This window comes from Homo sapiens, chromosome 16 (assembly GCF_000001405.40).
Source record: "Homo sapiens chromosome 16, GRCh38.p14 Primary Assembly".
NCBI lineage: Eukaryota > Metazoa > Chordata > Mammalia > Primates > Hominidae > Homo > Homo sapiens.
The window spans coordinates 50,023,884-50,037,783 of NC_000016.10; the positions used below are offsets into that span (position 1 = coordinate 50,023,884).

Genomic DNA, 13,900 nt, shown 5'->3' on the forward strand with positions numbered 1-13,900 from the left:
TTGTGGAACAAAGGGATCAGTTAGTCAGTGACTGGTACTTGGTAAGCTGCAATTGTTTTAATATTGCTTGTTTAGCTGCTAGAGGAAAAAAACGAACATTGTGGCAGTTAGAACATCGTTTATTCTTTAAGTGTCTGGGTCTTGAGTGATTTAACCCTTGCCTGGCAGGGCCTTAGGTCTTGTTTATAAGTTGGTATGTTACTGCCACAAAAAAATCTAGCCCATCAGTCTTAGATTCTTTTTTTTTTCTTTTTCTTTTTTGACAGTCTCACGCTGTCACCCAGGCTGGAGTGCAGTGGCTCACTGCAACCTCCGTCTCCTGGGTTCAAGTGACTCTCGTGCCTCAGCCTCCCAAAGAGCTGGGATTACAGGCATGCACCACCACGTCTGGATAATTTTTTTGTATTTTCAGTAGAAACAGGGTTTTGTCATGTTGCCCAGGCTGGTCTCAACTCCTGACCTCAAGTGATCCACGCGCCTCAGCCTCCCAGAGTGTTGGGATTAACAGGCGTGAGCCACCGCGCCCGGCCAGGATCTCTATTTTAACACAACTATTCTTATTTGAAATCAATTACTTATTTGCATGTTTGTTGCCTGCTGTAGCCCTTCCTCTTTGCGGGCAGGAATCCTGTCTACCTGGCTCACACGCGTATCAATACAGTGTCTAGCATGTTAGGCAATAAAATGATTTTGAATGAAAGAATGCCACCAATAAATGAACAAGAAGGCCTTGTGATCAAATACAAATGTAGTCAATCCCTTACAGATCTCTTCTTAAGTTATAGGTATTTGGGCTTACACTTTGCCTCATTTAGGAATTATGAAAGCTGGGTGATGTGAGAGGAAAGTAACCAAGAGAGAAGTGTTTACTTAAGGGGTTGGTTATCTAGGATACCATAATTAAGGAAACTGGTTATTTAGGGTTCTAGTTAGTTCTGTACAGATTTCATTACTCCTTGAGATCCTTGAGGACAGAACCAGCTCTTTGATTTCTGTATCCCTCGCTAGCGACCAGAATAATGCCTGGAAGGTAGTGGGCGCTCAATCAACATTTGACGAATGAAAGAACCAAGCGGGGAACGGGGGATAAATGAATGAACGAACTGGCTCCGGAGGGCTGCAGTTCCTCCCCGGGGCAGCAGGCGACGCCAGCGTTACGCCCGCCTGGCCGCCGGCAGTTCTTGGTCCCTCCGGCTGACCGTCCAACGCTAGGCGCCGAGGCCGGTGCAAGAGACAGCCAATAGAAAGCTGTCTTAGTTGGAGGTCTAGTAGAGGAATCCAATGAGCGTAGCGGGTCTAGGCAAGGGGCGGTGCGACGGGGAGGGGCAGCGGGGAGCGGTTAGAGGTGGGAGTTGGCGCTGCGGGCCGGGCGGGGGCCGCGGAAGCTGCGATGCGGACAGGGCAGCGGCGGTGACCCGAGCTGCCGCCCGACATGAACTCGCTGGAGCAGGCGGAAGGTAGGGTGGGCCGCCCGGGCCCGTCCCCCGTCTCCCCTCGGAAGCTGGCGGTGCTCCGGAGGAGCCGGCGTCGTGAAGACCCCCGCCCCGGGAGGAGGCCGCAGAGGATGGAGCTAGGGGCCCGGAGCTTGGGGGCGCGTAGGCGGCCGTACCTGGCCAGACGCGGGGGGCGGTGCCTCAGCTCCCTGAGTCCCCACAAACCTAGAGGGTCGACCTCCTCGCCAGCTTCTATTTTTATTTTCTTTTCACTGGCAGACACTTGCACTTCGTGCATTGCAGCCTGCTAATTCATTTCATTTCATTCTCACAGCCCCGCGAGTTGTATCCCTGATTCCTGCGGTGGTTTCCGGTAACTGCCAAGGTTAGGAAGTGCTGCTCGGTGTTTTAAAGTTTAAAGCACACCACTGCGGAAAGGATACCCCACCACTCACTCGGAGCAGCTTAGACGCCCCTGTCTTCTAGAACTAGGCGCTGCCTGGGTGCCACGAAGATCACCTGTACCCCTTCGGAGGGGGCAAGGGGAATGTCTTTCCACACCCACTCGCTATCAGTGTCAAGAAGTCTAGTAAGGCCAGACGGCGTAGCCATTAATTAAATATAAGAGCTGGAAACCGGAGGCGGGTAATTGCAGTCAGGTAGACCTCGAAGACTTTGATGTTAGGCACTACGTGGTTCTAATAGGAAGTTCTTGGTTCCCAGAGAGCTAAAACTCGACCTGATTTTAATTTTATTTGCAACCCTGAAAATGTTCGCTTTTGGCGCTGGCCGAGGCTGCTGCTTATTTCTCCCAATACCATTTATGAAGCTTCTAAAAGTAAATCAGCAAGTTTTCTTATATGAGAAATTGGAATTAAAGAGCCCTAATTTTTTGTCAAGTGCTTAAAAAGCTGTCATAGTAAATGAAATAAACAGTGCAGTGATACATGGAAGTTAGTGTGTAAGACCTGAAGCAGTTAAGAGTATCTCACATGTCGTCTTAATGTTAGGTAAATACTCTGACATTTCGTCAGACGAGTAAGAGTGGCTAATTAGAAAATTGACATCTTTATACCTAGATCTCAAGGCTTTTGAGAGGAGACTTACTGAATATATTCATTGTTTGCAACCTGCTACTGGACGCTGGAGAAGTAAGTTCCTGAATGTTATTTTAAGGGAAAACTAACAATTGATACTTTTATCCTAATATAGGAATGATTTGCTTTTATGTAAAATGTTTGTTTAAATTTATTTAACATTGTAGACAATGCCTTATGAAGAAATTTTTAAGAAAAGGAAATTATAACTGGCCTTCTCAAAAGAACAGTCTATTTCGTGTGGTTGTTTTTGTTTTTCCATTAAAAAACATATTTTTTGGCCAGGCGCCGTAGCTCACGCCTGTAATCCCAGCACTTTAGGAAGCCCAGGCAGGCGGATCACCTAAGGTCAGAAGTTCAAGACTAGCGTGGCCAACACGGTGAAACGCCGTCTCTACTAAAAATACGAAATTAGCCGGTCGTGGTGACGCTGCCTGTGATCCCAGCTACTCAGGAGGCTGAGGTGGGAGAATCGCTTGAACCCGGGAGGCGGGGATTGCAGTGAGCCGAGATTGCGCCATTGCACTCCAGCCTGGGCGACAAGAGTAAAACCCGGTCTCAATAAATAAATAATAAAAATATTTAAATTTTTGAATTATTACAGTTTTGATAAAGACATACCTAATAAAAATTTCAGTAGCCCGTTTAGCAGTTTTATAATTTGCCTACAAACTATTGGAATAAAATTTTAGTAAGAAGAGTCATATTAATAGGGCTCAGTGAGTCACGCATATAATCCCAGCACTTTGGGAGGCCGAGGCTGGAGTATTGCTTGAGCATGGGAGTTTGAGACCAGCCTGGGTAACATGGAGAGACCCCATCGCGGTGGCTCACGTCTGTAATCCCAACACTTTGGTAGGCCGAGGCGGACGGATCACGAGGTCAGGAGAGCGAGACCATCCTGGCTAATACGGTGAAACCCCGTCTCTACTAAAAATAAAAAAATTAGCCGGGCGTGGTGGCGGGCGCCTGTAGTCCCAGCTACTCTGGAGGCTGAGGCAGGAGAATGGAGTGAACCCAGGAGGCAGAGCTTGCAGTGAGCCGAGATTGCACCACTGCACTCCAACCTGGGCGACAGAGCGAGACTCTGTCTCAAAAAAAAAAAAAAAAAAATTTAGCCAGGCATGGTGGCACACCCCGAGGTCCCAGCAACTTGGGAGGATCACTTGAGCCCAGGAGGTCGAGGCTGTAGTGAGCTATGTAGTGAGCTAAGTGAGCTATGTTCACTGCACTCCAGCTTAGGGAACAGAGGGAGACCCTGTGTTTAAAAAAAAAAAAAAGTAAAGTCATGTTATTTAATGTATACTTGGAAAAGTTACAAAATTACCCTTAGTTGATTTTTAACAAAGCATAATTGTGCTGCTTTGAAGTCTGACCTAGAAAATTCACATTATTACTATCTATTCATAAGTATCATGAGTGCTACAAAATATAATTTGAACAGTGCTTACTTGCCCATGGAAATACATAGGAAATGTGGACAAATATATGAGCCATGAGATCATCAAACAAAATGCTTTGTTAATATGTGTTTGGAATAGTTTTTATTTGTTTTTGTTTTGGAAATGGAGTCTAGCTCTGTTGCCCAGGCTGGAGTGCAGTGGCGCCATCTTCGCTCACTGCAACCTCTGCCTCCCGGGTTCAAGTGATTCTCCTGCCTCATCCTCCCTAGTAGCTGAGATTACAGGTGCCCGCCACCACGGCAGCTAATTTTTTTGTGTATTTTTAGTAGAGATAGGGTTTCTGCATTTTGGCCAGGCTGGTGTCAAACTCCTCACCTCAGGTGATCCTCCCATCCTGGCTTCCCAAAGTGCTAGGATTACAGGTGTGAGCCACCACGCTGGGCCAAATAGTTTTAATTTCCTAGATGGTCATTATTTAGATTTAATTCCTATCAAGAAGGAAGTGTAGTAGCACACATTGAGGATTTACTTTATTTCAAAGTGTAAATCAGTTTGCTGGACCAAAAAAGCACTATTGAAGCTAAGGATCTAAGGATCTGGCAAGATTTTTTTGTATAATTTTTATTAAATCTATTTGCAAAGTTTTATTAGTATGCTGTGAGAATTCTGGTTGGTCAGAATTTACAGGTAATGATTTTCCTAGGTTCTCTGGTTTACCTAGGAATTATCCCCAAAACCTATGTTTCACTGTTACTTGAAAATCTTTTAAAATGTATATGATACTGCCCTATCTTATAAAATGTGATATAAATATACTTTACTTTTTCTCTGACTCATGGTCTTAGCACTTACTTGGTTAATGAACCAGTCAAATAAAGCATGTGTATGAGGTCCTTTCTAGTGTATTGATTTTGCTTTTTCTTATTTTTTTAAAACATACATGTGTAATATAGTGCATTTCTGGAAATACAGAATTGTAAGAAATTGAGTTCAGTCTGTTCTGAGTTCAGAACATAGTTTTGATATTTTGATCCTATTTAATACCTAAAACAAGATTTTTTTTCTTTAGTTTACGTCTTCTAAAAGTACATCAAGGAATTCTAGATAATTAAGGTTTTACTATATTTGTATATTTGCTATATTTCTGTTGTTCTTGGAAACTGAATTTCCACATTTGAAAAATGTATGCATCCTAGCTGAAAGACAGGCAACGGTCATCATCTCCAGAATATTAACTGGGTCTTGATGCCCCTTTATTATTTTTTACTAATACCATTCTTAAGTTTTACTTATGATTTATTTAGAATTTCTAAAATCATTCTAGCTTAGTGGAGAGAAAGACCTTTTCTAAGTTTTACTGGCAGTAATTTCTACCCTACCTTTCTTTAAGTCTCTTAAAGAAAATCCGATACTAACTGGTGTGCTCCATACTTCCTGCACTGACTTTAATGTAACCATGGCAGTCATCTGCAAAGCAAAATCCTTTAGTCAGTCTTCTCAGTACATTCAAAAAGGAGTCTTTGATGGTTTGTTTACAGTAGAAAATGAGTTTGTTTTTTTAATTTGAGTTTACAAGATCTGCAAAATCTTCACTAAGCACAGTGAACGTTACATAGCGTAGACTCTTCTACTGAAGTGTCACCATCGAATTGCTTTTTATTTCATTGATCATCATAAGTTCTGACCAAATCATAAGAGAAACAGTATCCTTAATTACTAAGGTTCACAATGTTTAAGAGAATTCCTCGAAGCCAGATGGCAAGCCTTCTAATTCCTGAGTCTAGTTAGTGCATTTTCCATTTAATAAAGTGCTATATTCTTTGGTTGTCATTTAGTAGGAACTGGTGGTGATAGTATCACATATTAAGTATGTATTTGCTTACTAATTTCGTGTTTATCTTTCATCAGTGCTTCTTATAGTGGTATCTGTCTGTACAGCTACTGGTGCCTGGAACTGGTTAATAGACCCTGAGACACAAAAGGTAGAAGTTTTGTTTTAAAATCATTAGCATAATTAAATGAGATAATGGATATTGTAGTGCTTTGTTAATGATAAAGTATTCAAACACTACCTATTAACTACTACTAGTGATATTGTCATATTAAAAATATGCCTTTTATTAATTTGCTCAAGGAAGATTTTGGCTGGCTATTGTGAATTAAGTATGTCTACAGGGAAAAGGTCTAAGAGATGCTATTATTTCTTAGACATTTATTTGTTATTTGTCATTCACTTCTGAATTTATCATTTTTACATTTTTTTTATATCTCTCATTTTTACTTCAGTGTGAGTATTATCTTCATTCTGCTTTGTTCATTGAGTGTCATCAGTGCCAGCTTTTAAAAGTTCTAAAATAGGCCAGGCATGGTGGCTCATACCTGGAATCCCAACACTTTGGGAGGCCAAGGGAGGAGTTCAAGACCAGCCTGGGCAATGTCATATAGCAAGACCCCATCTCTACAAAAAATTTAAAAATCAGCCAAGTGTAGCATGCTGTACCCAGCTACTTGGGAGGCTGAGGTGGGAGGATCACTTGAGCTCAGGAGATCGAGGCTGCAGTGAGCTATGATTGTGCCACTACACTCCAGCCTGTGTGACAGAGCTAGACCCTGTCTCAGAAAAAAAGAGGGAGAGAAAAAAATTGTAAAATAACATTTTCTTCTATGAGTTATCTCTGTTAATACCTTTCTTCATCCCATAAAACACTGGAGATGACTTTACAGGAAACACACATGATAAAATAGCAAAATACACATATAATAAAAAGTCAGGACTAGATAAAAACAAGTTGGACCATGAGGTCAAAACCAGAAAGGAAACCAGCTCACTGATGTATAGGCCATGTTTCCCAACACACTTGCCAGAATTGGATTATAAATTAGTCTCTGAGTTACCTAATCAGTGAAGTCACAGTTAATTCTGTGATTTTCATTGCCTGTAAGATAACACATATATCAATTCCTTGGGCTAGCAAAGCTTTTCTTTCCCAACATTTATCTCTGAAAAAAAATTTCTTGCCTGAAGTTTAATACAGGAAACACTGAGGGATCTCCCACTGGGCACTGTGCAAGAATATCCCTATACCAAATGCAATAACTGATTTCATAATGTTATTCCTTGAAGCATCCTTTGATGAAAGCTGATAGCATGTTTCTCAAATTTCCACCTCTTTCTACTAATTTGTGCTTTAATTTCAAACTCAGGGCTTTTTTTTATTAGAGAAGTAGTTAGTCTCCAATTTTTTAGTGAAGTTTCTTTCCCCCAGTGCAGTTTTATTTAGGGAGTAATGATGTAATTTTCACAAATCTTAAAAATCCCCTCCCCGCTTTAAGCTGCAATTAAGTAGACTACTTTCAGTAGCTCTATTTGTACCTTTTAGGTTTTACAGAAGAAAAGCCTAAGAGAAGGCTTTTGTCATCAGTCTCCATGGCAATTCAGACAGCCAGAGAAGTTTATTTCGCATATAGTCTCCCTAACTTTATCTGCTGAGGTGGAGATATTTAAAAGGATAGGAAGCAAGGGGAGATTGGTGATGGAATTTTATGTTAATAGAGGATTTTTATGGCAGACAGGAAACTCTCTTGTGTGTTCATTTATAAAAATCTGATCTTAAGGCTGCACTTGGTAGTCATCTTTAGGGGAAGAGTGGAAAGAGGCTGGCAAGAAGATTGAAAAAGATCCATCTTGGGAAATGAGTCTGACTTCTAATTGGGAAAAATATAAGCTGATCTCAGCTAGTTGAGATCTTAATAAAACACAGAATTAAATGTAATTTGAAATAGGCCCAAAACTATGTAGTTAATATAATTTTCTAAATTAGGTGAGAATATAACTATTCGCCTAAGGGTTGGCTCTTTATATTTCAGTATTTAATAACCCCAAACCTGACAGGAGTTTTAACCAGCAATTGTATCTGTAGCAAGAGTTGCAAACTCAGGAGCAGTGGCTAGGTAGAAGAACCTAGGGAGAGAAAGAATATGGCAGACAGGAAGTACCTGACTGCCTGGCCTGGAGAGAACTGCTGTTTCAATGCATTGGAGTGTTGCCATGGAGGGAGGAAGGCTGAAACTGATGGCCTAATTAAAATGAAGACATAAAGCACTGTATATGCTAACCTGGTGCAGGCCACACACAACAGAGCTGGCTTATGAGAAACTCCTCGGAGGTTTGAAGAAGACGTTCTTCTGGAATATTAACTTTTCCTTGGGTCATCATCTTTCTGGGAGCTTCTTTCCTGGTATTTTCAGCCTCTCATTTCTTCATCTGACAAACTTCTGTAACCAGTACCATGCTGAGCCATCTACCTGGTGCTTCTGTCTTGAAACACGTGCCTGCGCGTCTCCTGCTGTGAGAGTGGAGTGGGGATGTGCTTAACTTGATTCTCTTGCTCCCATCTAGTTACTAATCCACTTGATTTCTTTCTACACAGGCTCTAAATGCTTGTCTTCTCTGTGTCTCCAGTCAACGTTTCCATTTCGGTGCCTATTCTTATTCCAGTCATGGATCCTGGACCCTTGTCCCTCTACATATTCTTAGACTTGTGGATTGTCCTGTTTTCTGCTATCATTTGATATGTCCAGATCTGAAATCAGCCCTTTCTTTCTCCTTCGTTCTAGTTCTTTATGGATAGCTACTAATCGTTTTTCCCTACTTGAATGTCCTGTGGTCATTTAGATCTCAGTAGCTTCAAAACCAAATTTGTTTTTTGCCTCTGCAGGGAGGAAGGGGTGATGCTGGAATTGAGTGTTATGAGGATATGTAAGAGTTAGCCAGGTGGAGGGAGAGAGGTGAACAAGGCAGCATATGTGTGGAAATATGGCAGGAGATGAAAATTAGACTGGGATCAGGTTATGAATGGCAGAGTTTGCTCAACTCTTTTAAGGAAGCTTTTTAACAGTAAAGGTAGGCTGAGCGTGGTGGTTCACGCCTGTAATCCCAGCACTTTGGGAGGCCGAGGCGGGCAGATCACCTGAGGTCAAGAGTTCAAGACCAGCCTGGCCAACATAGTGAAACCCCGTCTCTACTAAAAGTACAAAAATTAGCCGGGTGTGGTGGTGGGCGCCTGTAATCCCAGCTACTTGGGAGGGTGAGGCAGGAGAATTGCTTGAATCCTGGAGGTGGAGGTTGCAGTGACCTGAGAATGTGTCATTGCACTCCAGCCTGGGTGACAAGAGTGAAACTCTGTCTCAAAAAAAAAAAAAACAGGGAAGGTAACTAAATCAAGTTTGATTTGTGTTTTCATTGAGACCAGAGGCCTCATCTTCACTCATTCAATGCAGAGTTCAGTAAATATTTTTGATAGGGTTGTTTTTTGATTATAGGAATGAATTTGTAATAGTTCAAGTATTTGAAATGAATGGAGGGAATACTGCTATATTTATCTTGCTTTATAGAAGATAGCCTATACATTTTTATTTTTACAACGCAGCAATACAGAGAACTAAGATTATTAGAAGTCTTCAAATCCTCATGGTTTATATGATAAAAAATATTATATATATTTATGTACAAGTGGGGAGGTAGGAATCAGCCATCCTAAGATTTTTAACATTTTTATATTTTCATCTCTTCTTTTACAGGTGTCCTTCTTCACATCATTATGGAATCACCCATTTTTCACCATTAGCTGTATCACTCTAATAGGCTTGTTCTTTGCTGGAATACACAAGAGAGTAGTTGCACCATCAATGTATCCTTTACCAAGGATTAAATTCCATTCTCTGAAGTGCTTTGTTGATCTAGGTAATGGTTAAAAGCTTACTCTTGCCGGGCGTGGTGGCTCACGCCTGTAATCCCAGCACTTTGGGAGGCTGAGGTGGGTGGATTTCCTGAGCTCAGGAGTTTGAGACCAGCCTGGGCAACATGGTGAAACCCCATCTCTACTAAAATACAAAAAATTAGCCAGGTGTGGTGGTCTGTGCCTGTAGTCCCAGCTACTCGGGAGGCTGAGGTGGGAGAATCGCTTGAACCCGGGAGGCAGAGGTTGCAGTGAGCTGAAATCACGCCACTGCACTCCAGCCTGGGCGACAGAGCAAGACTGCGTCTCAAAAAAAAAAAAAAGAGTACGCTTTGTGTTTTTTTTTTGAGACAGAGTCTTGCTCTGTCGCCCAGGCTGGAGTGCAGTGGCGCGATCTCGGATTAGCCAGGATGGTCTCGATCTCCTGACCTTGTGATCCGACCGCCTCGGCCTCCCAAAGTGCTGGGATTACAGGCTTGAGCCACCGCACCCGGCCTAAAAGCATACTCTTGAAATGAGAAATTTTCCTTTGACCACATGTATTCAGTATAGCTGCTCGATGTCGAACGGTATTAGCAGAATACAATATGTCTTGTGATGATGTAAGTATTTTTTTGGTTAGAAAATTATAGACCTGCATGAAAACACTGAAATTTTTGGCTTTAGAAAGGTAGACATTTTATTAGCAATAAATTTTCTCTGTGGAATGAATAGTGAGAATATACTTAGAGCATTGATTCTAAGGTACTTTTACATTTAACATCTTTGGCATTGAGATCCATCTTACAGTCAATGAGATCTGACAAATTGGGAGAGTTGACAATTTAATCTTTCTTAATGACATAAAATCATGATGCATCTTATAACTGATGCATCTTAGATTCAGTGAAGTACAGTGGTTGTTTGTTATTGACCAAAAATGGCTCAGCGGATATTGGTTTTATAAACTACTGTTATTTATCAAGTGATATGCTATATATGTTATTTGTAAATATAGAGTCATAGATTAATTTGTGGACTATGGACATATGAACCTATTGTGTTTTTAAAAGTAGATGATGGGAGACTGGGCATGGTGGCTCATGCCTCTAATCCCAGCATTTTGGGAAGCTGAGGCAGGAGGATCTCTTGAGTCCAGGAGTTTGAGACCAGCCTGGGCAACATTAGCAAGACCCCATCTCTACAAAAAAATGTAAAAATTAGCCAGGCAGGTGGTGCACACCTGTAGTCCCAGCTGCTTGGGAGGCTGAGGCAGGAGGATTGCTTGAGCCCAGGAATTTGAGGCTGCAGTGAGCTGTGATCATACCACTGCAGTCTAGCCTGGACGACAGTGAGACCCTGTCTTTAAGTAAATTAAAAACTATCATGTACCAGTGTGTAATAAGGGTGTCTCACAATTTTGATAGGTAGCTTCTATTTTGATTTGCTTATTTTATTTATAAAAGTGTCTTAGCCTTCAATTTAAAAAGTCATTAAACAAGTAATACCTATTCATTACAGAAATTAGAATAAAGAGGCCAGGCATGGTGGTTCACACCTGTAATCCCAGCACTTTGGGAGGCCAAGGCAGGAGGATTGCTTGAGTCCAGGAGTTTGAGATGAACCTGGGCAACATAGCAAGACACCGTCTCTACAAAAAATGAAAAGAGGAGAAAAAAAGATGTATGTAGTATTTTAAAATAAAGAGCTCAGAAGGAAGCTCCACACAAAGGAAGCTCTGAAAGCATAACTATTAATTGTTTAATCTTGACTATAGAGAAGCGTTCTTATTCCTTGCACATACCCTTTAAGGTTTATAAATAAGCAGTGGTATTTTTACTAGAACTGTGTATTGAAAAAATTCTGTCTTTTCATTTTTGCAGACAGGAAAACTAATTTTGAAACCTAGGCCTCATGTTCAATGACAATCTTCACTCATTGTTATGGGACTTAAAATAGCCTTTCTTCGAATAAGTGATACAGCAAAAAGCCATAAAGGATTCCTTTTGCGGTTGGATATGTAAAGGTCATAGCAGCAACTGACAAGAAGTGTGCAATATTTACCTGGATTATCTTGATGATGGTGACTCATTATCAGTGCTTTGGTACTTTTGATTACCTGTGTTTCAGTATTAGTGTCACTTTAGTACTTCAGATCCTGCAAATATTTTTGCAGATGAAGTATGTATGTATGTTACTAAGTTAAACTTAGAAACAGAACCTCATTCAGTTTTTATAATGTATTTTTGCAAACTACTGTAAATAGCAAATCAATGCCAATGTTAAACAAAGAGGAAAACGTTGTGTGGACTTTGTTCTCTTGCACCAGTATTTCAGGAACATCTGCTTGCCATCCCCACAGCTCTTTAAAACTGGCTATTATGTGTGCCTTTCATTCTTACATTTCTAATCATACTGCAGGAAAAACATTGGATTCAGCTTAGACTGAGGAAAACTCTCCATTATGTTGTAAGAAATTATAGATGTTTTGAGAGACACTTTTTGTTAAACCAGATATTGAACTCCAGCAACTATTGTGGTTATATTTTTAGTTCATTGTTCTCATTTAATGCTAAATATCCTTTATATTGCTTTAATAATTTTCTTTTTTTTTTTTTTTTTTTTAGACGGAGTCTCGCTCTGTTGCCAGGCTGGAGGGCAGTGGCACGATCTTGGCTTTCTGCAACCTCTGCCTCCCAGGTTCAAGCGATTCTCCTGCTTCAGCCTTCTGAGTAGCTGGGACTACAGGCGCATGCCACCATGCCCAGCTAATTTTTTTGTATTTTTAGTAGAGACGGGGTTTCACCACGTTGGCCAGGATGGTTTCGATCTCCTGACCTCGTGATCCTCCTGCCTCATCCTCCCAAAATGCTGGGATTACAGGCATAAGCCACCGTGCCTGGCCTCTTTAATAATTTTTAAAATACCCTAAAGGCTTGTGAATATACAAGTCTACTGATAAATTATGTATTGTCTGGGAATTTGATAGTCATTGTTTTAGATAACTGGATTTTACGCTGTGGTAGACAGGCTGTGACACTAGTGTTGCACAGGTGTAATTGGTCATCCTATGCCTTCACCAGAATAACTTGGGAGTGGTGCCAGAAACTAGAGTCTACAATTCTCACTGTTTAGAGAGTGTTAATGACATACTGTGTATGCATAATAGCCGCATGTACTATAATAGCCCTTAAAATTAAACTATTGGGATTGCTGTAAATATTTTAAAGTACTGGAGGTGCCTTTTACCTGTTTATTAGATTTTGAAAAGGTTTAAATTATTTCATGAGCAATCTTTTAAATTTCATTTAACATAAAGCTGAAAATTCAATAACAGGATAAAAAAGCTTTTTAACAAGGCTGCCATTTAACTTAAATGTGTTCATCTTAGCTTTCACTTGTATAAAATTTGATTCTTTGAACTGCAGCAATAAAACCCTCAGCTCCTAAGAAGTCTTAAGAGGGTATTCTATATATTCTGCTTTGTTTTATTTTCTGTAAATTTTGTAGGTAAATATGTGCATTAAAAATAAATACTTTATATATAACTCGTGATTGGACTTTTTCTTTATTGTTAAGTTTGTAACTCTGAAAAAAATGTTAAAACATATTGTCTGTATCAGATATAAGCTAGTTCTAGATGAGATATTTTACTTTAGCTCTGTGTCCAAGACAGCAAATTTTAAGTAGCACGTGTAGGTACCCAGTTTATTAGGTTATGATTACTTTTAATATGTCTTATTCATCATAGTCTAATAACACTTGGCTGTTAATCAGGAAATACAGGTTTTGTCATATTGCTCTTTACAAACTTGGATTGCCAGTTTCCTCCAAGAGCATAAAGCTGAAGAAGTATTTTACAGGCCCTTCATCTTTTTTGGAGTCATGAATTCCTTTGAGTGTTTAATAAAAGACTTGACTCCTCCTCTAGGAAAACCCACCTGTGTCTTTGCATGCACTTGGAGGGGACTTCCAGATGCCACATTACTTGGATTCCATGGGCTTCAAAAGAAAACAATCTGTTATAGTCCAGAGATTTTTCATACCTTAACTTCTAGCAGAATAACTCATTTTCCTAAGGAGTATTTGTTCGGAATGGGCCAAGGATCCTTGTGATGTTAGTTTCTAACCACCATCTCTACCTTCTCATCTCCTCTCTCACGTTGTTAGGAGGTGACTGATTGAATCCAATCATCTAATTTTACAGGTGGAGTAGACAGTCTCAGATTTGCAAAGTGTCTACATGAAAT

The 13,900-nt window shown here is 40.5% G+C and overlaps 1 protein-coding gene across 4 annotated transcripts, besides 3 other annotated features; it reads left to right on the plus strand.

Moving 5' to 3' along the window:
- Nucleotides 1,031-1,532: an enhancer, noted in NCBI's record as "H3K27ac hESC enhancer chr16:50058825-50059326 (GRCh37/hg19 assembly coordinates)". NCBI's record gives its function as "activates a minimal SCP1, AML or CMV promoter by ChIP-STARR-seq in primed H9 embryonic stem cells {active_cell/tissue: H9 hESC(primed)}" and the evidence as "EXISTENCE:reporter gene assay evidence [ECO:0000049][PMID:30033119]".
- Nucleotides 1,031-1,655: a biological region, named in NCBI's record as "H3K27ac hESC enhancer GRCh37_chr16:50058825-50059326".
- CNEP1R1 (CTD nuclear envelope phosphatase 1 regulatory subunit 1) lies at nucleotides 1,342-13,198 on the plus strand. Of its 4 annotated transcripts, NM_153261.6 has the most exons (7): nucleotides 1,342-1,457; nucleotides 1,768-1,818; nucleotides 2,513-2,584; nucleotides 5,842-5,915; nucleotides 9,514-9,623; nucleotides 10,219-10,273; nucleotides 11,534-13,198. In NM_153261.6, the coding sequence occupies exons 1-7, from the start codon at nucleotides 1,433-1,435 to the stop codon at nucleotides 11,573-11,575; spliced, it is 429 nt and encodes a 142-aa protein (NP_694993.2). In that variant the 5' UTR covers nucleotides 1,342-1,432; the 3' UTR covers nucleotides 11,576-13,198. The 4 variants fall into 4 exon arrangements, 2 of the variants coding, with proteins under 2 accessions (NP_694993.2, NP_001268718.1); NR_104042.2 differs by lacking the exon at nucleotides 5,842-5,915; NM_001281789.2 differs by lacking the exon at nucleotides 1,768-1,818.
- Nucleotides 1,346-1,655: a silencer, noted in NCBI's record as "silent region_7466". NCBI's record gives its function as "represses an Ori minimal core promoter by ATAC-STARR-seq in GM12878 lymphoblastoid cells {active_cell/tissue: GM12878}" and the evidence as "EXISTENCE:reporter gene assay evidence [ECO:0000049][PMID:35858748]".
- Nucleotides 13,199-13,900: the final 702 nt, after the last annotated feature.